The 24158-nt window shown below is 39.3% G+C and overlaps 1 protein-coding gene across 1 annotated transcript in view; it reads right to left on the reverse strand.

Annotated features, from left to right (window-relative positions):
• DYTN (dystrotelin) overlaps nt 1–18270 on the reverse strand; it is a 66776-nt gene extending 48506 nt beyond the window's left edge. Inside the window, exons 1-6 of the mRNA NM_001093730.1 lie at nt 18135–18270; nt 10398–10472; nt 7176–7377; nt 5662–5747; nt 4717–4817; nt 19–90 (exon numbers count right to left, since the gene is read on the reverse strand). Of these exons, the coding sequence (NP_001087199.1) occupies nt 19–90; nt 4717–4817; nt 5662–5747; nt 7176–7377; nt 10398–10472; nt 18135–18153 (555 nt within the window). The 5' untranslated portion in view covers nt 18154–18270. The remainder of the gene's footprint in view (nt 1–18; nt 91–4716; nt 4818–5661; nt 5748–7175; nt 7378–10397; nt 10473–18134) is intronic.
• Nucleotides 18271–24158: the final 5888 nt, after the last annotated feature.

Raw genomic sequence — 24158 nt, forward strand, 5'->3', positions numbered from 1 at the left:
CATTTGCAAGGCACTCACCCCTTGGAAACAGCTGCGGGTGGCACTTTCCACAGGGCACAGAGCACGACTCTCTCCCACGAAAGTTGGGATCTGCAAGAGACAACCTCATCTTAGCTGTTAGAAAGTGGAGAAATATGTCGTCTCCGGGAGCAGCAGGGCTGAGAGCTGGTGCCCACGGCTGTGTAGTCACAAGTATTTGGTATCTGAGACGAGGTGAACTGTCTCAATCCAAGAGAACAAAGAAATGCGTGGGTTTTGTGCAATGTTTGGGTTAAGACAATGAATAAGCAAGTGGGAAGGAGAGGAGGGAGGAGGGGAAGGGAAGGAAGTCTGCCAATGAGGTGATAAACTGCTTCCTTCTGTTTTATTTTCTTGTGATTCCAAATTATTTTATCCTTTCTTTGCCTTTGTTCACCTATGAAATGAAGATCACAATAATACTGTCTTAAAGTTTAGAGTTTTAAAATATATATACTTTTTTTTTTTACTTTAAGTTCTGGGATACATGTGCAGAACGTGCAGGTTTGTTACATAGATATACATGTGCCATGGTGGTTTGCTGCACTTACCAACCTCTCATCTAGGTTTTAAGCCCTGCGTGCATTAGGTATTTGTCCTAATGCTCTCCCTTCCCTTTACCCCACCCTCTGACAGGACCCAGTGTATGATGTTCCCCTCCCTGCGTCCATGTGTTCTCATTGTTCAACTACCACTTATGAGTGAGAACATGCAGTGTTTGGTTTTCTGTTACTGTGTTAGTTTGCTGAGAATGATGGTTTCCAGCTTCATCCATGTACCTGCAAAGGACATGAACTCATTGTTTTTTATGGCTGCATAGTATTCCATGGTGTATATGTGCCACATTTTCTTTATCTAGTCTATCACTGATGGGCATTTGGGTTTGTTCCAAGTCCTTGCTATTGTATATATACATATTTTTAAGACTATTCAAGTGCAGTAGTGAGAAGCAGGAAAGAGTAGATCAAGAAGTTCAATCTGTATTCAATCTGTAACTGACTAAACAATCTACTGAGATAACTCACTACCTTTGGACAAGCCTAGAGTGGCTTTGAGAAAAACCTTTCCAAACACTTTCATATCACATCATTTTAAGAAATGCCAATTTCTGAGGTAGGATGGTAATTACTACCCTTGTTTAAACAAGCAAGGGATGAAAGGAAAGGAAATCAGTTTGTCAAAGAGACATCGGCACTCCCATGTTCACTGTAGCACTCTTCATAATAGCCAAGTTTCTGGAACGATCTAAGTGTCCATTGACAGATGAATAAAAAATGTGGTATGTAATATACAACAGAATAGTACTCAGCCTTAGGAAAGAAGGGAATCCTGTCATTTGTGACAACATGAATGAACCTAGAGGACAATATGCTAAATGAAATAAGCCAGGCACAGAAAGACAAATACCACATAATCGCACTTACATGTGGAATCTAAAAACATTGAATTCATAGAAACAGAAGAATAGTGGATGCCAGGGGCTGAGGACAGGGATAAATGAGAAGATGTTGATTAAAGGGTAGAAACTTTCAGTTATAAGATTTATAAATTCTGGGAATCTAATTGCAGCATGGCTACTAGTAATACTACTGTATTGTTTACTTGAGAATTGAAACAAGAGCAGGTTTGAAGTATCCTCAAACCCCCCAACACCATGAGATGGCAATGATGGTGGTGACAGATGGGTTAATTAATTTGATTGTGTTAATCTTTATGCAGTGTATATCTATCTCAAAACATCATGTCGTACACCTTGAATATATACAGTTTCTGATTATCAATTAATAGTTTTCAAAAAATAAAGCCAAGAGTAATTGAGATTTGATATTTTGCTCAAGGTCAAAAAAGCAAGTTAGCAGCAGAATTGGGGTCTCACTCCAGGACTCTTACTCTTTCTTGAGGAGTTTCCATGAAGCTTTATCACAGCCCGACCTTACATATATTTCAACGGCTCAATCTGTGCCACCACACTCAGTGGTTTCCAACTTTCAGCCACAGTCACCATAAGGCGTTCAATTAAGGCACTAAGAACCTTTTGTGACTGCCAAGATGGCCAGGGACTTGGCTCTGACATCATCTATATGCACAGATACATGTACCTGTCACCTCCATTTATTCCCATTTGGTCACGGGTCCTAATTTCACATCTGATGTCTTCTACAGCACAGGCTGTCAGCAGGCATTGCCTGCAAGCTCAGAAGTAATCTCAGAGACCCTCCTGCTGAGTCCATCAACTCGAATAAACGTTCTTCTAATCAGGAAAGTGGCACTCAGAACCTCTTTGCTGACAATTAGCCAGGCAGAAGTCAACAAACATTTGTGTAATAGTGACAAGATGGCTTGTACTTTAAATTGATAATAATCCTGTTGCCAGTCGAATGTAAGTAACTACTCCCTATGTTATTTAGCCTTTGTCTGAAAGCATAACTCATTACCCATCGTTTGGCTTGTGAGTGCTGATGAACTAACTGGACCACTTATTTAGACTGTGTTGTTGATCCAACATTCACCCTCCTCTGATGTCCTTGAGCCCTGGGAAAGGAGTTTTACTTCATTTGTAAAATAAGGTGGGTGGATAACATAGGATGACTCTCACCAGCTCTGTGATTCTAACACTAGTACAAAGAAAATTCACTTCTGTAGTGGGTTTTCAACCTACATTTTTGCCTATAAAGATGTGCATAAAGATTTTGCGGATGAATGGCCCAAGTGACTAATTTCTTGCAGGTGTTCTAGGAAGAATTAAACATGGCTAGATGGCACACCGGCACAGGCAGACACCACTTGAAACGATAATTATGATGTTTAGGGGGGGATTTGAATCATGTAGTGGGGCCTGGAATTTTCTCTGAGAATCCATTTCTGAGTCTGTAATAGCAGTCAATGGGATGATAATTTCTATGCAAATCTCCAGCTTCCTAAGACCTTCTCAGGAGCATACTGATGCCTGGGGTGCGGGTAGGGGCGGAGTGCTGAGGGAGCTTCTAGTTCAGCAGCTCATTGACCTCATTTGAACCTGAAACAAGGGCAGATTTTTAGAGCCTGTTGGACCAAGTAGTCAGGAGAGCACAAAGAGTTCTCTAGAAGGAAAATGTCCCTCAGCTCATCCCCTTTCATCACATCCGCTTCTAAGCACTCCAGTCTCACCAGTCTGATTGCACAAATGGGCGGACAGACTGTCCAGCCTTCCCAGGCCCCCACCTGCTCGAGTCTTGTGATATGAGATGGGTGGAAGTGAGCCTGCAACTTATGATGACTCCCTGAGAAATGCCTTAGAGTCAGTAGAACGTTTGATGGTGGGATCTATGTGGCTGCTGCAACTACCAGTGCAGCTCAGAAGTATCTATGCCTGATATTCTAACCTTATAAATAAAAAAAAAATCATTGCTCCATTTAAGAAATATATAAATGATGTTTGGAATTTAAGTTAAATATTAATTATTGTCATCATCATGAACACAAAATATTAATATTGAAACCAAATCAAAGCAAAGATAATTCTGAATAGGTTTTTCCAATCCATACTCCCTGTCCTAGAGATTTTTATTATCTTCCTCCTTATCCCGCCCTTGCTCCCATCATGCATGGCTATCCTCAGTTCAGAATCCTTGGTCCAGAACCAAGAGAAAAGTGACAGAAAGTTCCTAAGTCATTACAGTCCAGAATATCTAGCATGGGGATTTTGTAGGAGCTGGAAGAATGGAGACATCCTTCAAAACAAGGGTAAGGGTACAACAGGACAACAGCACCCACACGCAAGACAATCCAGAGCCTGTTTAATCCTTTTGCAGAACTTCTTGCTTGGTTACATCAATTTACATCATTTTAACATTTAAAAAACATCTTTAAGGAGGTTAAATTCCCTTGCCTAGTAAGAATAAAAACCAAATCAAATGTACACATTCTTAAACCACAGGAAATGATGGAAATAATTTTGAGTACTCGACATGGCACTCCATCTATGCATTCTTTAAGCATTTTTTTGATGTCTTTTAGTATCAGGCACTGTTCAAGTCACTGGAGATATAAAAATGAAACAGTCCAGTGGGGAAGCATCATCTACCATAATTTGACAAGTGCCGCAACAAAGTTATGCATAGGAAGTCAAAGAAGCTTTGAGCAAGGAGGTGACAAATGATTGAGAGATATTGAAAGAGGAGTAGTTTGTTAAGTGAAAGGATAGGCAATGGCCTTGTGGGTAGATAGAAATGCAGAAGTCAGGCATGGAGAACTTGGTGCATGTCAGGCACAAATTTTAATATGTAGGAGTGAAAAAGGTATGGGGTGTAAGGAAAAATTAAATACTTTGGAATAAGCAAAAGAGACTATTGGATATGTTTTCAGTGGTGATTATCTGTACCTATAGACAGATACATCATTGTCTTTGCTAAGCTATTTTACAACTCTAGAGAGAGTAAAGTTAACTTGTAGCAAACTTACAGCAATGCAAATAATTCTTATCTATAGACAACATTATCTTTAGCCTCATGAGTATGAGTATAATTCATAACCTTCTACTCATAACCTTATGAGTATAAGTTAAGTTATATTCAAGTAACAGCAATGGCTATGGAGGAGAGAGCTTGCATGGAGTTATATATAAAGATAGACTTGACACTGGAGACATCAGATTCTTTAATAATAAATGTGGCAAATTAACTGAAACAAATGTACAGTTCTTAAGTATTAGGAATTTACCTGCTGTAGATCTGTTAGTAGTTTTCTCAAAACCCTTCGAGTCATGCGTGGCCCAGAATCATAGCCTCCCCTGCTATTTTCTGCATAGAGTTGAAAAAGAGCTAGACATGTAGGAGGAACAATCTTTAAATTGAATACTTGCAATGTATCTTTGAAGAGTACTTGCTTTGAAGTAACAGTCTCTTTGTGGCTATGAAAGGAAAGAGAAGGGAAAGTTATGTTCTTGATTATTGGCTAGCTATTATGAAGGCCTCCAAAACTATTTTGTTTTTAAATGAGGTTTTGTTCCTGTTCCCCAGGTTAGAGTGCAATGGCACAATCTTGGCTCACTGCAACCTCCACCTCCCGGATTCAAGCGATTCTCTTGCCTCAGCCTTCAGAGTAGCTGGGATTACAGGCGTGTGCCACCACACCCGGCTAATTTTTTGTATTTTTAGTAGAGACAGGGTTTCTCCATGTTTGTCAGGCTGGTCTCGAACTCCCAACCTCAGGTGATCCGCCCGCCTCGACCTCCCAAAGTGCTGGGATTACAGGCATGAGCCACCACGTCCGGTCACTATGATTTTTGTAATAACCGTAATTTGATAACTAACGGAAACCCATTCACATTTCAACACCTTGATCATTCAGTACATCTAGGAAGAAGATCATGAGGTTGGTAAACAGAAATGTGAGGATCCTCCCAGGCTTCAAACCAATAATAATTACGGGTGTCTAGGTAATCCCTAAACAAATAAATATCAAGAACAACCAAGAAACAAGTAATTAGGAAGTGTAAATTTTGAAAAATTCCAAAGTCCTCAAATAGTAAATATTTTTATTTAATAAACACATAAGTCATGCTGAGTACATGCTGAAGAGGCCTTGTGGCAGGGATATAGGATAACAGGTTGGGGATTTGGGGCTCACTGCACTTTAGGACACCCGCAGTCCTCTGCATGTTACCTCGGTATTTTGAAAGAGGGCTGTCTCCTGAGAGGGTTATTAGGGCAGCGGCCGCAGGCATAAGCTGGAGAAAACCTGTTCCTTTGCTGCACAGTAACAAAATACAGAGACAAGAATGGGAAGGCCAGGGTTACCTTTGGTGTAATGGATGATAAAAACCATAACTATTAATGGGCATTTCTGATATGGTGCTATAAGTTCCAACTTTTTGTGGCCTCTTATCCTATACCTAGAATTTAGCAGAACAGAGCATTGAATTAACATATTTCACCAGTCATTTATTTGTTCCTGCATTCACTCCAAAATATGTATTGGATGCCTCCTCTGTGCTAAGCACTGTACCAGGCATCAGGGATGCAGGGATAAACCCTGTTTTCATGGAGCAGGTAGCATCACTTCCTCGGGCCTCAGTTGCCTGGAAACCAAGCAACAGAGATAAGGAAGGACCAAAAGGCAGGCACAGGAACAAATATTTATGCAAAGAAAAAAAAAATCTAGTTCACAGGCCCTCACTCAGAGCCTAATCATCCTTGCCCACTTGCTGTCTAGTTTACAAACGTACTGAACAATTTATCGAAGGCAGGGGAATTGTTAGAGACAGGCACAGATAATAGAAATGACAGTCAAAAGCTTAATGTTTAAGGAAGCTGAAATGAAAAAATAACTTGAGAATGTATGTATATATTGTTTGGGCAGTTAAAAAAAATTAAAAAAAAAAAAAACTAGAAGAGAAAATAACTGTAAGGAATTTGCCCAGTGGTTAAAACAGTGCTTGCCTCTGGGAGGCAGGCTGATGGGTGATAATGTATTTCTTCTTCTTTACTTTTTTCGTCTACTTTCCAAATGTTTTGAATTCACTATGATTTTTGAAAAGTTTATTCTAAAGGATGAATTCTAAAGGATGAAGTCTACTGAGTCAATGATACATAAGGTAAACCAAATCGAGGAGGGGGCAGAGGAATTGAAACCTTACAGCTCAAAAAACACACGCACCCCTACCACACACTAGCAGAACTATTGACTTCAGAGCATATGCAATCAGCCCTTTGACATGGTCTACACTGGTTTATAGGTTACCCATCCATGCACAGGATTTTCAACCTTATTCTAGCTAAAAAAAAAAAAAAAACAATTGATAATGGTTTACAAAGAAATCAGCAAAGAAGCTAGCAGTAGCAAGAACTAAGTGTCGCTTTTCACATGTGTATATGGAAGTGTAAACGCCCTAGCAAAAGGTGTGTATGCTTCTCTAGAGTAGGAGTGAATTTGTCTGAAGGAAAGAATAATGTGGAATTCTCTCCCTCTTTTTGCTATCCATGGGTCATTTATATTCCTAAAGCCGATGGGCATTTACTCCTTTGTTCTACTCCTGAGGAATAAATTTGTGAAAAACAAACAAAGAAGACTTCTTATATACCAAACCTCAAGCAAATATTAGCCAGCACCAAATGGTAAATGACCACTGGAAACTAAACTTTGCCTTTGAGGTCACAGCGCGACGTCCACACCCTCACCTGTTGTACATTGTCGTGAGAAGGCTCAGAGTGAGTTCCGGAGCTCTGGGATGCACTTGTCCTGGGTTTTCCTCCCTGGCCTTCTGAAACAGCTCTTGGAGTGCCTGAGAAAGTTGCTGCACAGAAAGGGAGTGCTTGCGAGCTTCCCAGAAACTTGGACGCAGTAGGACCTGCTGAATCAGGGAGCTGTCAATCAAGTCCACTGTAGGAAGCAAATGAAGAATTGAGCCTTATTTTCTGATGGGAACAAAAGGCTTCAAATAAAGCAAATGTCATTTGGTGTTTTATAATTAAGACTTTTTATGGTCGCTATTTTCTTTTAAGGGGAATGAAATATGACTACTATTTGGACATATATTCCTTGTGTATACTTCAGGCGTTACTATTCTAGCGATTCATTTGATTTTGGAAAGGTGCATCTGTTAGTAAAGCATAGTTGTAACATTATTACCAGTACAGTTTCTAGGATGTTGTTTTATAGAAAGAAGTTAAAAAGGGAAGTGAGAAACGAAAAATACGCTTTCCAAGAAAGTTATGACACTGTGGTAAAAAGTTGGGGAAAACATTTTTATACTCTTCATTAAGTGGATTGAATAAATTTACCTTTCCTGTTCAAATATAGTTTTTCTTGTCTGCAGCCCAGCTTCAGAAGCAATATGGTGTGTTGAAAAGCAATTGCCGTAGTTAAATACAAAACAGTGATCTTCATAAAAGAGCAGTTACTCTTCTGTAAAGATCTTTAGGCTAAAGAGTCTGAGAATTCTGCAACTCAGTAATACCACTGTTAACAATCTTGGTTCCATCAGTATTATTATCTAGAGAAGGCACTTAATAAAACTACAGCTGCTTACAAAAAATAATGGTTTATTTCTTATACTGAATATTTTTTAACCACCTTCTCCTAAAATTTTTACAAGGCAATGAATAGAAACAAGAATGTAATAGAGCTAACCCCATAGCTTCTTGCAGAGAGAGGATGACAGACAAAATTAATAAACAGCCACTTGCACCATCTGAGAGGTGGGGATATCAAGAGCGCCAAGAGCTCCTGGCATTTAAAACGCTTCAGCCTGTGAAACCATAAAACCCTGGGTTTCTCTCTACTTCGTAAATCAACCTCAGATAAGAAATCTAGCAAGTATAATAAAAATTTTTATTTGTTCTCTGATATTGCTTTTAAGAGGAGAGTCTAAGGAACAGAGGAACAAGTTTCAGAATGTGACTTAAATAAAAACCTGGCTGCAGGTGGTGAAGGCTGTAAACTCTTTTATCGTTAAAACCTGTCACCTCAGCCAGGCATTCTGAACACAGGCCGATTTCATCTCCTGCTGAGAGTTCTATATTACACCAAACCAGATAATAGTGGTGTCCATTAATCTCACCACAAGATTTATACAGCGATGTGTCCCCGATCTTCCTATTTGGAGCTCATGTTATGCTTTATCTCAGTGTTTGGGATTTTCTGTTTTTAAATTTTTGTTTGGATATCTTTTCTAGGTAACATTTTTCAACCACTGATTTTGTGTATTGTTAATATTTCCCATGAGTGTTATTTATATTCACTGTTTCTGATGCCAGAGATAACAAAAAGTTGAAAACTGTGCATCCACAAATTACGCTACGGAACATACTCAGGCATTCGTGACTGGGACATGTGAACAATTGCTGCTAACTTTCTCTAATGGGAGAAATTCTCCAGGAAAATGCATAATTGGGGGTAAATTTTTAGCTTTTTGTTTGTTCCTGGAATAATAAATAATAGTTATAAGTGAGTTTCTTTATCTAGAGCAGTAATCTACATAAAACTGTTTTTAAAACCAAAAATTTCTTCTTCAAAGGAACCTAATACAGAAACACAGTATAAGGCCAGGCGCGGTGGCTGATGCCTGTAATCCCAGCACTTTGGGAGGCCACTGTGGGCAGATCAGTTGAGCTCAGGAGTTCAAGACCAGCCCGGGCAACATGGCGAAACCCTGTCTCTACTAAAAATACAAAAAATTGGCAGGGTGTGGTGGCTCACGCCTGTGGTCCCAGCTACTCGGGAGGTTGAGGTGGAAGGATGGCTTCAGCCTGGGAGGCAGAGGTTGCAGTGAGCTGAGATCCCTCCACTGCACTCCAGCCTGGGTGACAGAGTGAGACCCCAGCTTACACACACACAGACACACACACACACACACACATACAAGCAAACACGGTATGGAAAATAGAGAAGGATGGAGTTGTTCCTGCTGAGGATGTGGTCTTTGAATCGTCCCACCTTGCTTGCAACTCCTCTTCCCACCTGGCTAACTCTTTTTTGCCCTACCCTACATTCACATATATTTTGTGAAGCCCAATTTGAAAACCACTGCCCTATATAACTTTTTAGGCAGGAGGAAAAATATTTTTAAATGTCAGCCTTCAGTAGAAATGTCATATATATAACATAACTTCTCTTAGGTCTGATATGATAAATTTCAGAAATCATTTTACGTGAAGTGATTTTTCTTTCATGCAGTGAGAAATCAATAACTTTAGATATGCTGAATGCCTGATGTGTTTCATAGCTTGGACCCAGTTTATTTTTCACCTTGGAAAATTTTCACAGGATACATGTTTTAGTAAAAACATTTTACCTTATTTTGCCTAGATAACAGTAGGAGAAAAGAAAAGAAAAGAAAACCATACATTCAATCAGATATAAATTTACTGCAAAAAGGGGCAGTTCTCAGGGAATTCTCGAGATAGTTTTAAAATTCATGGTCCATGGGTTATTTATTCATTTGTACCTACTTTTGCATGTTCATATATAGATTATAGGTACAACTTGAAAATGCAAATCTTACGTGGTAGATGGAATTTTATATTTTTATACTTAAATCTATAAGTGCAGTTTTGAAAATACTTTTTTTTTGCAATTTTATTTTGTGTCCATATTGGTATCCTGAAAAGGAAACCAAAAACATTTTCTAGAAGAAGCCAAGTGGAGAAAATATTTAAAAAATTAAAAATCCTCATGCACAATTATTTCTATTGCTCATCAGCAAAACTACACATGGTTTGCCTGCACGTGATGTTTTCCCATCCTCCATCTTCTCTGTCACGAATGGGCTAAATGCACAAGTCCAGACTTCCAGAATCCAGTAGTCAGCTGCATGGGGGGAGTGTTTGTTTTCTCTATGAATTTTACATCGCACATCAAGCTCAGATTATTTCAAATATTTCAGGAGAGCCTATACTTACACTGGCACAGAGTTTGCACTGATTGTAATTTGAAGGCTGTTCTATAAATGGAATTCTCAATACTATTAAGAGCATCTGTAAAGAAAACGTAAAATATTATGAATAAAGTCTCTCTCATTATATAAATCCCACATCATGGAAGGAAATCCTAGAGATCATGTAAGCTTACTTTATTTTGCAGGTGAGGAAATTAAGGTTTAGAGCTCTTTTTTTTTCTGTAAACAAATAAAAATAGACTTACATTATTCTAGGGCTACAGGTGAACCTAGTTCACCTTCTCAGTCCACCAAAAAGTGACGGAATACTCCATCAATCTGTCCACTTTTTATATAAAAAGTCAATGGCCTTTGAAACAAACAGGATAAAAAAAACTACATGTAGAATATAAATTCAAGTTTGCAAATATATTCTAGTTATATGTGGACACATGCATTTATGCATAAATGAAAAAGACTCCAAAGCTATCCATCTACTCATGCATTTAGCCAATATTTATTGAGCCCTTAGTATATGGCCCTGGCATGATTCTAGGCCCTTGAAATATAGCATTCAACTAGATAGATAAAGATGGCCACCCTTGTGGAGCTTAACTTCTAGTACCAACCACCAAACTGTTAACAGTGGACATCTCTGAGTGCTTGAATTATTAGTGTTCGCGGTTATTTTCTCTCTGCTCAATATTACCTAAATTTTCTATAAAAAGTGTAGGCTATTTTTATAATCAGAAAAAGAATTATTAATATACCTTCTTTTGAGAGTTACCATCACCAATAGCAGTACAACAATAGCGAGCATTCCTGAGCACTGAGTGTGTACTTGCCCATTTCACAGTGTAGAGGAGAGGAGAGAGCTCTGGAGCCAGCTATACTTAGTTCTGTTCCTTCCTTTTTCCTTAAAAGTAGTTACTTTTGATCTTCAGTTTCTTCTTCAGATAAATGGGAATTATAACACATTCCTCAAAGGGTATTTGCACATTTTAAATAAGAAAATGTAGGCAATATACTTCCTAAATTGTTTCTCTTACCTTTCTTTTTTTTGTTGTTGTTTTTTGTTTTTTTTACTTTTCTTTTTTTTATTATACTTTAAGTTTTAGGGTACATGTGCACAATGTGCAGGTTAGTTACATATGTATACATGTGCCATGTGGGTGTGCTGCACCCATTAACTCGTCATTTAACATTAGGTGTATCTCCCAATCCTATCCCTCCCCCTTCCCCCCACCCCACAACAGGCCCCAGTGTGTGATGTTCCCCTTCCTGTGTCCATGTGTTCTCATTGTTCAATTCTCTTACCTTTCTTAAGGACCCACAATTTTAAATTTTTTCCATTGATGCTCCAAATTTGATTTTTATTTAATTTAAGAGACTATAACAACGTTACAACGGAGCTTTCTGTTGCTGAAGACTGAAATGATCAGTCTTCATATCTAGAAAAAATAACTATAGAGTAGATCTCCCCATTTAGTCATATTATCTTTAATGTTATTCAATAAAGTTATATAAGATCATACACATTAATAGCTTAGTTTATTTTAGGCAGTTAAAATGGCCTGTTCTAACTGCTTATTGTTGGTATAAACCAGTAGACCTTAAAGTATGGTTCCTGAACCAACCACAGCAGCAACATCGCCTGGGAACTTGGGAGAAAAACAATTTCTAACAAAAGTCTAAGAAGTCGCCAACGTCGGAATCTAGGGGTGAGAATCTAAGGAATAACCTGAGTCTTAGCAGGCCCCGGGGGTAAATCTGATGCAAACGAAAGTTTGAAAACTACTGGTATAAAGGGAATTTATTGCTTCTGCTTTTTATGACTAGTTTGATTATTGAAGGTCTTTGTGACAGCAGTTTCAGTGGAGTCATGGGGGTCAAAATCAAACTGCAGAGGATGGAGCACTGAGTGTAAGGTGAGGAGAAAACATACAACCAGACAACTTTTTCAAGATCTTATAACGTGAAGGGAAGACAAGAGAGCCACAGCTAGAACAACACATAAAATCGAAAGTGGTTTTCAAAGGCAGGAGAGATTCCAGAATGTATGGGTCAGGGAGGAGGAGCCAGGAGAGACAGAGTGGGGTTGAGGACTCAGGAAGTAGGGGATCCAGGTAGTATATGATGTAGCAAAGTCCCTCTCAGAGGGCACATGTTCCCTTAGCCACCCAGCATCCATTTTTCTTTCTCCAGGTGAACCACCTCCCCTAATCTGAGTCCATGAAATTCCAATAGTGTCAACTGCAACTCTCCCACTTCCATGGGGGCATGTGGCCCAGGCCCAGCCCATCAGTGAGAGCACCGTCGCCTTCCCCAGAGGTGGGTACATACCAAAGTCAGGCAAGTAATGTTCCAATGAATCTGGGTTCAAGGACTCTTGGTTCAAGTTATCAGGGAAGCAGAATTTTTTTTCTCGACTTGAATTTGGAATTGTAGATTGGAGCAGAAATCACCCTCTTGTCAGGCTGTGTAGCTTGCGAATGAAATCAACACACAAGGGTGAGCAGAGATGAACTTAGAGATGGAGAGAAACCGCTTCCTGGTGACAATGTCCCAGCCCAGGAAAGCTAGTCCTTCCTTTGGTTATTTAATTTATTTTCATTTGTTTTAATTGACAAATAAATATTGTATTATTTATCATGCACAGCATGTTTCAAAATATGTGTATCTCGTGGAATGGCTACATCAAGCTAATTAACATATACATTATGCCACATATTTATTTTTTGTGGTAAGAATATTTAAAATCTATTCTCTTAGCAATTTTCAAGAATATAATACATTGTTATTAACTATAGTCACCATGCTGTACAGTAGATCTCTTGATTGGGTTATTAATTTTATAAGGTAACACAGCCTTTTTGAGGTAAGTTTTCTGCCACAATCGCTGAAGTATTGCTAACTGCTCCCATCGCTGTGGTAGAGAGAGGGAGGAAAATGCACAGGTGAAGGAATTAGCTTTGGTAAGAAGCCATCTCTCATTCCCTGAAAGGAAGCATAAAAGGAGATGATGCGCTGGGGGGATGGCCATGTCTGAGAGCTTCTGTTTTCTTTGTAAAGTTGAGGGCATGTTCACACATTTAGAGTTAGGAGGACATGGTGGGGTTGAGGAATAGTGAAGATTTGCACAGTTATAGTGAAGGGTGAAAGAGGAAATCAGTCACAAACTTTGGAAAGAACTGCCAAGCAGTGGTGCATCTCTAGTGTTTCCGGTGATAACAAATTCCAATTAGAGTTTACACCCAGAAACGCTCATTCTGAGGCAAGGATTTCACACACAAGCAAGCTCTGAAGCCAAGACTTACTTGTATTTATGGTGCCCAGAGGAAGAAGTCTTGAGGAAAATGAAACTACTTTCAAATGTAATGTCAGCCGATTAACATAAAACTCAGGCAATGAGGAGTTAGCAGGGTGTGCTGGGGAGTTTTGTGACTAGAAACACAGCCGAGTCTCCAGCCTTGGAACAGGCCCTGAGCAAAAATGAAACAAGGAACTGCTTGGTGTACTTCTTTGATTCAAACATATGTGGCAAGGTCATTTGTGGTGACATTCATTTTTGTCTCGTTCTTGCAGCAAGGGGAGAATTTAAAGAATGGAAAGGCAATGTTTCTGTGTTCATCTTGTAAGTCTAAGCTATTTTCACTCCTCTGGGAGATCTAACAGTGTCTCTGTGTTTAAGGGCCACTCTTTTTTCTTTCTTTTCTTTTTTGTTTTGAGACGGAGTCTCGCTCTGTCACCCAGGCTGGAGTGCAGTGGCGCAATCTCGGCTCACTGCTCCACCTCCCGGGTTCATGCCAATCTCCTGCCTCAGCCTCCCGAGTAGCTGGGATTACAGGCGCACACCACCACGCCCGGCTAATTTTTTGTATTTTTAGTAGAGACAGGGTTTCACCGTGTTAGCCAGGATGGTCTCGATCTCCTGACCTCATGGTCTGCCCGCCTCGGCCTCCCAAAGTGCTGGGATTACAGGCGTGAGCCACTGCGTAAAGACGGCTCTTGAAGTCACCTCCACTCAGGCCTTTGTATGAAAAGATGGACAGGCCCATGAAAGAATTAATCTGGAATTTTCCTGGAGGCGGAGAGAGGCTGATGCCTGGACAAGAAGTTGGGAGATGTCTGACTAAGATTGGGTTTAGGAGGTGTTTCCAGGGCTGTCCTTCCTAGCAGACCCCTGAGTGGGGGAATGAATGGCTGCATGGTGTAGCCAGGGAGACCAGCCACAGGTGTGACAAGGACTTCTGTGTCCAGTCTTGACATGGAGTCCCATGTCTTCAAGTGGAATCCAAAGCCAAAGGCAGAGAGCATCACAAGTGGTGGTCACAATGGACTTCAGTTAGGGCCTTGACCAGTTAGTTGTTCAAGATAGCAGCCTTAGAGCTTTCTGTTTGTCTCCCAGGGATAGTTCCCTCCCAAACTTAACTCAGCCTAAATTTCTTTTTTTTTTTTTCTCGTCTTATTCAGCGTTTCATTAGTAGTGCTAATGTAGCTACTTAGTGCATGTTGAAGGAACAGATGTCTAAGATACTAAGCAGCATTCCAGGCAGAGAACACAGACTGGGCAAAGGCATGGAGGATGGATAAGATGCTGAGCTGCTCACTGTGGCTGGAATGGGAGGTCAGGAATGAGGTAGAAACAGGTGGGAATCAGGGAACAGGCAGGTAGGAACAGGCAGGAGCTATTAGGTCCTTCTGGGTCCCAATCCTACTTTTTGGGGGAGGAACTGTCAAGCCCTGGGTCCTAGGTTTGGATGGATGGAGAAACTGGGTGCCTGTCCAGGATTTCCCAGCCTCCTTGGGCTTTGCCTTCCTCATTGAGATTCCTCCCCAGAGGCGAGGGGGAGGGGAGATGACTTAGGGACGGCAGCTCTCAGATGCATCCTTATCCAGCACAGGGAGCCCGCCAGCTGCCCGTATATATCAGGGCCAGTGTTGTCTTGTTGCTTGCTGGGAAGGGAAGTGTGGGAGATAATTGTGTCTCCTTGGGAAGAAATATGGGTGCAGGCAGAAGCATCTTTCTTTCAGCTTTGGGAGAAGAGATGTTCACTCAGCATCTTCCTCCAGAGTAGGGTGAGGTGAGGGAGAATGTTTAACCCTTTCCCCTTAAACACTCTCTGTAAAATCAATTCCCAAAGGTTAATAATGCATAATTATGCAAAAGGAATTTGGAATAATTCAAAGAGGTTGGCTGGAGAAAGTTCTTGGGGCTAGGAAGGCAGAGAGGAGGTTAGAGAACCATAGGAGTTCAAGGGGGCTGTAGGCAAGTTGGAACAAGTATCAGTTTAGAAAGTGGCTGTGGTGGCCGGGTGCGGTGGCTCACGCCTGTAATCCCAGCACTTTGGGAGGCCAAGGCAGGTGGATAACGAGGTCAGGAGATAAAGACCATCCTGGCCAACATGGTGAAACCCCGCCTCTACTAAAAATACAAAAATTAGCTGGGTGTGGTGGTGCGTGCCTGTAATCTCAGCTACTTGGGAGGCTGAGGCAGAAGAATCGCTTGAACCAGGGAGTTGGAGGTTGCAGTGAGCCAAGATCGCGCTACTGCACTCCAGCCTGGTGGCAGAGCGAGACTCCATCTCAAAAAACAAACAAACAAACAAAAAACAAAAGAAAAAGAAAGAAAGAAAGTGAACTCAGCCTAAATTTCATATCAAGGTACAGTGCCTTGATTTTGATTTAGGAAATGATGTTTCTTGCCCTTGAGTGTTGTGGGGTAAAGTACTAGCTGTTACACATAAGATACTGAGTGCCAGGCACTGTGTGGAGCCACAGAGGGGATTAGAGTGCTGAACCAGGCCAGAGCCACCCCAGGCCAGAGCCATCCCAAAGTAGTGAGAACATGCCACAGGCCTCTCTCTGAATGTATATCCATCCAACAGTCAGCATATGATCATGGATTAAAGACATCTACCTCAGGTGAAGTGGACTGTGCCTAAACATTGTCGCCCAAACAAGAGAGGTTGTTTAAAAACCGTCTACATGTTTTCCTTTCTTTTTCAAGAGGTACAAACATATATATAACTACAATTTGCTCTAAATCTTTTGTTATTCATCATTTCCTTAGGCTTTAAAAATGCTTAGTTTTCAGATAAGATGCCAATGTTAGAGAATGGGAGATGTCAGAAACTCCTCTGTCCTATGTTTGGAGAAAAAAAAAATTGAGAGTAGGCATAATAGGGTGGAAATAATTTACAATAGTGTAATGCCCAACATTTCTTTCCTCTGGAAATTGGCCAATGTTTGTGCCCTGGTTCCTCTCAGATGCACCAAGCAGATACACAGAATCAGCAGACAAGGGGCTCTGCAAGTTCCCAGATGCTGCTCTTGGTAGAGGAGCGACTCTGTAGCTGCTCTACCATCTGGCCATCACTCTCCTGTCAAGTTATGCTTTACAGCGTCATCTGATGAAGTTAGGCAGCATAACACGGCAAGCTGTGATACAGTGCAACATGGAAAATGAATGAGGAGCCCAGGTGAGCCAACACCAGACCCACTTCCTCAAGGCTAACTTTTACATTTTTTTTCTGCCGATGCAAACACACACACACACACACACACACACACACACACAAAACAAACTCAAGAAAGGAAGAAACTACCAAATGTATCACGCCCAAAGCTATGAACAAAGCAGTTTTAGATGCTTAAAGAAATAGTAACACAAGCTACATGTGTTCTTCTTCATGGAAGCAAAATGATTGGGAAATATCTTTTGACCAGGATTCTTGTTTTTGCTCAGCTACATCAGTATATTTATTTTCCACAGATACTAAGGTGGATATAATACAATTCTTTCAAATGTCCATCATCTAGTTCAATGATCCAAAATAGATGCTGTAGGCCAGTGGTCCTCACAGTGTGGTCCCAAGCCAGCAGCATCATGTCACCTGGGAACCTGTTAGAAATGTACATTCCTGGACTCTTCCCAGACCCACGGAATCACAAACTTTGCAGCATATTAACAAACCTTTCAGGTGATTCTGATGCATGCTAATTTTGAGACACACTGCCTTAGAAAATTGAGAAAGAAGAAAATTGAGAGTTGAATGGATTACCTACTGCTTTGTGTAAAGCGTATTAATATGAGAGCCCAAATTTGGAAAACCCAAAGGTATTGTAATCATTTATAATGTTGTTTTAGATAAACAACTAGGGATCATACAGAATTTCATATAAAACAAGTAAGATAACAATGTAGATTTTGGTTAGGGGAGTAAGGCTCCAAACAGATCTAGCAATAGAAATCCCACAGATCAGTTCTGGGCCTAACTTGGCATTCAGCGATGTTAGAAGAAAGGGGAACTAGTTTCTCCATATCCACTTATAAAATTTTCATATAGTGACAACTGTGAGACCTTTCTCCCAACTTGAACTACACAGTACTGTGAACTTACCTATGACATTAAAATATATACGATAATTTCATTTTAATAGTAAACTATGAATATACATAAAACTAAGGTAATAGTTTCTGTGTATTTGAATAGCAATTCAAATGTAATTATGTTGACATCAAGTCTTTTGTTAGATTATTTTTGGTGCTTTCGAGACAATAGACCAGATACTCTTCAGTACATGGTGGATTTCTGTTTAGAAGAGAGAGAAAGCCACTTTAATCAAATAACAGTTTCTTTTTCAGCCAGAAATTTGCCAAATGTTTACTCTTCTTCAAATCAGAGGTCTGAAAATATAACATCTGTGCCTAATTTTTCTGTTTACAAACTATGCTCAGAAACTTGACAATAATACTCACCTTGTTTATCTGGATCCATTTCACAAATTTCCTGGAATGACAGATGGCAAGTGGGTCCCTGTAACTAGAAATGAACCAGTATTTTAAGCAGAAGGTTTTGCAGCAGAGGAATGAGGACAGGGGAACAAAAAGGCAACTAAACAAATCATTTTACCTGTGGAAAGTGACTGCAAGGTGTTCAAGGTGACTGAAATATCTTGGGAGGAAGAAAACAGGGAGAAACATAGAAGCAGAGGCTCCTGATACTGACCACGCTTCTCAGAAAACTGAGAACAGCTCCTGAAACTAATACCATGATGACTTAGAGGCTTTGAGGCATTGTAATTTTAAGAGTGGACTGTATTCTTACTTTAAGATGATATCAATTTACTTGAACTTTAAGAACAAAATTTGAAACTCTCAATACTTAAATTTCTAATAATACTATGCTAAATCATTCTACATATTAAATTTCTAACAAAAGCTATCAACTTGTCATATATATGCATATATACATACATGTATGTATATGTATACATAGGATTCTGTTAATAATTAATTTTTAAAAGAGTAGTCAATTAGCTACCTTTGTTAATTGTTTCATGTTGCAACTATTGTTCAAACAACACACACACAAGAGGTTTGTGGAAAATGTATATTCTGAAAAAAAATAGGCAAGGATTTCAAAATTTTTTTGTACCAAAATAAACTCACACTAGATTGTTGAAGCATGTCTGAACAGGATTTAGTTTGAAGCATTAAGAAGGATAAGATATCAGTCTGAAAATAGCTCTTGAGAGCAACATGAATTCTGCTAAAATGGAAGCAAGAACAAACGTCAAATTTATGGTAAAACTTGGGTGGTAAAATAGTAAAATCATTGATGCTTTACAAAAAGTTTATGGGGACAATGCCCCAAATAAATCAATAGTTTACACCATGGAATACTATGCAGCCATATAAAGGAACAAGATCATATCCTTTGCAGGGACATGGGTGGAGCTGGAAGCCATTATCCTCAGCATACTAATACAGGAACAGAAAACCAAAGACTGCATGTTTTCACTTATAAGTGGGAGCTGAACAATGAGAACACATGGATGCAGGGAGGGGAACTACACACACTGGGGCCTGTTGGAGGTGCAGGAAGAGGAAGAGCATCAGAATAAATAGCTAATGCATGTAGGGCTTAATACCCAGGTGATGGGCTGATAGGTGCAGCAAACCACCATGGCACATGTTTACCTGTGTAACAAACCTGCACGTCCTACGCATGTATCCCAGTACTTAAAATAAAATTAAATTTTAAAAAAAGAAAGGAAAAAAGAAATCAGTAGTTCACAGAGAGATAACTCATTTTGAGAAGGGATGAGAGGATGTGAAAGATGAAACCCACAGCAGTGGACCATCCACATCAGTTTGCAAGAAAAAAATGAAGTTTTTTCTTTAAAGAAATGTGAATGCTGTAATTTAAGAGGACAATTAACAGAAGAAACAATAGCCAACTCCATAGATAGCTCAACTGATTGAGCTTACACAATTCTAACTGAAAAATTGAAGTTGCGCTAGCTTTCTACCAGAAGGGTGCCAAAACCATTGCACGTAGATCAGCTGCAGACAAGAGCAGGGTCAATGGAAATTTTAAACATGTGGGACCAAGATTCTGAAGCCTTTCTTTGCAGAATTGTAACAAGAGATGAAACATGACTTTGCCAGTATAATCCTGAAGACAAAGTACAATCAAAGCAACGGCTACCAAGAGATGGAAGTGGTCCAGTCAAAGCAAAAGCAGACCTATCAAGAGAAAAGGTTCTGGCAACAGTTTTTAGGATGTTCCAGGTATTTTGCTTGTTGACGGGCCAAAAGAACAATAATATCTGCTTATCATGAGAGCATTTTGAGAAAGTTAGCCAAAGCATTAGCAGAAAAACACCCAGGACAGCATCACCAGCGAGTCCTCCATGACACTGCTTCTGCTCATTCTTCTCATCACATAAGGACAATTTTGCAAGTGATTTGAAGAGAAATCATTAGGTATCCACTTTACAATTCTGATTTGGCTCCTTCTCTTTTCTTTTTGTTTCCTAATCTTAAAAAATCTTCAAAGGGCACCTAGTTTTCTTCAGTTAATAATGTCAAAAGGACTGCACTGACATGGTTAAATTCTCAGGATCCTCGGTTCTTTAAGGATGGACTAAATGGCTGGTATTATCACTTACAAAAGTGTCTTGAACTTGATAAGGCTTATGCTGATAAATAAATTTGTTTTTATTTTTATCTTTTAATTCCATTTTTCCATGAACTTTTGAAGTCTCTGTGTGTGTCTAATATACTATATATATACACATATATATTCATTTTCAGCAAAAAGAATGGGTTGTGGTGTAAGAAAAGCCTTATTAGTTCTCAGAAAAAGATGTAACATGGGTACATAACTACCTGTGTTATCATGGGTAGTTTAAAACTGTTTTTAAAAAGTTATATGATAATTACATTTAAATAATACTTTACCCTCCTTCTAATGAATGAATGAATTAGAGCACAAGTTATTTGGGCAGATAAATAACATTTTACAGAAAGCAAAATTAAAGAAAAATCTGATTACATTCATTCTTTAAAAATATAACAGTGGCCAGGCACAGTGGCTCTCACGCCTCTAATCCAGCACTTTGGGAGGCTGAAGGAGGCAGATCACCTGAAGTCAGGAGTTTGAGACCAGCCTGGCCAACATGATGAAACCCCATCTCTACTAAAAATGCAAACATTAGCCAGGCGTGGTGGTGGGTGTCTCTAATCCCAGTTACTCGGGAGGCTGAGGCAAAAGAGTTGCTTGAAGCTGGAGGCAGAGGTTGCAGTGAGCCAAGATGTGACACTGCACTCCAGCTTAGGTGACAGAGCAAGACTCTGCCTCAATAATAATAATAATAATAATAATAATAATAGTGGTAATCTAAGACTTCCCAAAACCTAGCAAGTTTCCATATATATTCAAATAAGATTTTTTAGAAAAGTTGTAGCATGGGAAATCAGTTTAGAACTCTTCTTGGTGTAGAAATTCCTGAAGTTCCTAGGTAGGCCTGGAAGGGTCCAGCCTCCCGGCCAGTCAACAGGATAGCTGAAGATATGATCTATCTGCCTCTACACCAAGTCCTTACCTTTCTTAGTTTCCGCAGAGAAGCATTCTAGTGGAACCTCCGTAAAAATGACTCAGCAGTTCTAGAAGACAGAAGCTGAGTAAAATCAGGTTTCCAGATGTAGCATTCCTGTGTAGAGTTGATTTCTTGTTCTGGTTGTCTAGCAATTGCATGCAAAACAGTAATCTTTGAGGCTGCACTATTTTTAAGGGCTCACAGAAGCACATTCATTAATAATAAAGATCCTGAATAATTTAAGGCTACTCCCACATCTCTTGTTTCAAAGGGCCATTTTCATATCAGTTTCACATGTAAACTGATGTAAACTGAAAGGCAGGTAAAACTTCTGGGTGCTATTGAGAGCAGGGCATATCACAGAGAGCAGCAAGCAGTCAGAAGGGCCCCATGTCCCACATAACCGCCACCTTCCAAACCAACTCAGATAGGAGTGACCTAGGAGTGGAACTGAAGTAATTTTATTCTTTTATAAACACAGAGATGGGGTTACACATTTTTAAAAGGCATTAAATATAATGCAGGTCTTGAAAAGGATAATAATAATTTGTTATGAATGTACATTTCCTCTTAAAATTAAGTATAATCAGAAAACGTCTTATTTCTAAAGAAGTTTAGACTAAAAATGAATTTGTTCTAATCCTATTAGGATTTTTAAAAGATGATGTCACATGAACCAAATGTATCACAACTTTACCATTAATGACTTCAAGCTGTTGAAAAGGTAGGGAGCGGATATAGTTTGGCTGTGTCCCCACCCAAATCTCACCTTGAATTGTAATAATCCCCATGTGTCAAGGGCAGGGCTGGGTGGAGATAATTGAATCATGGGGGCTGTTTCCCCCATACTGTTCTCATGGTGGTGAATAAGTCTCACGTGATCTGATGGTTTTATAAATGGGAGTTTCCCTGCATAAGCGCTCTTGCCTGCCACCATGTAAGATGTGCCTTTCCTCTTCCATTGCTTTCCGCCATGATTGTGACGCTTCTCCAGCCATGTGGAACTGTGAGTTCATTAATCCTCTTTCCTTTATAAATTACCCAGTCTGGGGTATGAGAACGAACTAATATAGGAATCAATTTAACATGTCTTTAAAAAATGTTTGAACTCCAAGCATAGGTGTTTTACTTCATGAGCACACCTGGAGAGCTGAAATATCTGAGTTTTCAGGTCCCAAAAGATACACTTAAAACAATTCTGGTAAGTGGGCACAGATTCACTCTAGAATGTCCCATAATAAAATCAGCTTTGAAAAGTTAGTATGACATCCAATGATAGTTAATTTATTATTTTGTTTTTGAAACATATTAGTATGACACTATTGGTTTCTTAAAAACTGAAACTTGAGACATTTTAAAAAATAAAAATTGATAAGTTATGGGGCAAGAATGGAATCAAGTGAAGGAGAAAATAATCTATCATGGGTCTTTGTCTAGATAAATGACTGATTTTCTGGGAACAGATAAGACAAAAATCTAGGAAGAAAGTAAATCTATTGCACACGGAATCTGTACCTGAGTACTGCAGACTCAAAGCTGAAATTGTATTTAGAAGTTTTATATTACATTATATCTGCATTGTGACACATCATAGTGTCTGAGATATCAGCAATAGAAGGAGGTTTGAACATTTTTCTGAGTGCTGACATTTTTAGATTTCATCAGACATCTCTGGCATTGACTGATTCTGTGGAACAAGGATCTTGGTGCCAAAAAAAAATTGTGTGAAGTTTCAGTCAAAATAACGTAACTAAATAAACAAATGTTTAAGTACCTAAGAATGAACCGGGGTATGTTGGAAAGTAATCTCAGCAAATGGACAATTGATAGTCCTAAGCTCTTAGCATGGCTGGATTTCAGACAGGCTTAGAGAAAAGATCTGAGGACTGTTTTGGTTTCACTTACTTCTGTCAACTGGAACTTTGTAGTTACTGTTGCAGCCCCCTGGCTCAAGTTCATATAGTCATATTAAGACTTTTCCTTTTCTTTCCATAAAATGTTTTGGGTTATAAGTCAAAACCAGTTTTTTCTTCCTATAAATGTTTTGGGTTATAAATCAAATTTATGATCTTACAATACCATAAATAACTGATGAGGTGGCATTTTTTGCTAGCAAGGCAGTAGTTTCTATAAATCATAATTGGTGATTGACTCTGCCTTTACCTTGAGAAAGCAGGTAGGAAGAAGGCGCAATCTTTCCACACAATCACAATTTGCCCTGGTTGGGACATAAATGTTTCACACCAGCCAGAACCTGGGCAGCCACTCCTTCCTGTGTATAGGCACTCTTTCTGTTCACTCGCTCTCTGTTGGCTCCTTACACATACATTTGAAGACTATAACTCCCAAGAGAGAAAGAGGATTTACATGTATTTACATACATGGTGAATAATCTCAGAGAAAAAATTAAGTTACTGAAGTTGACTCAAGAAAAAAATAGAAAACCTGTACCAAGGAAGATAGAACAAATGACCTTAAAATATTACATTCTGAGCCCAGATCATTTTATGGGTAAAGGCTTCAAGGCTTTAAAAAACAAAAGATTTTTATACTTTGGAAATGGTTAGAAGACCTACAAGGTTACCAAATGTATTTTATAAAGCCAGCAAAACACTGAATGCCAAAAATGACAAAGCTATCATATGTTTCTCTCTATCCCACACATACTCTCACATAAAAACATATGGGCCAGTGTAATTTATAAATACCAATGAGAAAATCCTAAATAAAGAACCTAGAAACCATATATTAAAAGAATAATTTACCATAACTGTGTAGGTTTTATTCTAGAGCTACAAAGATGCTTGATATGTGGAATTGATAACATAACTATTAATAGGTCCAGTAAACGAAATCAAGTGATAATTTCAGTAGGTGTTATGAAGACATTTGGTAT

The sequence above is a fragment of the Homo sapiens genome, chromosome 2, assembly GCF_000001405.40.
Source record: "Homo sapiens chromosome 2, GRCh38.p14 Primary Assembly".
Classification (NCBI taxonomy): domain Eukaryota; kingdom Metazoa; phylum Chordata; class Mammalia; order Primates; family Hominidae; genus Homo; species Homo sapiens.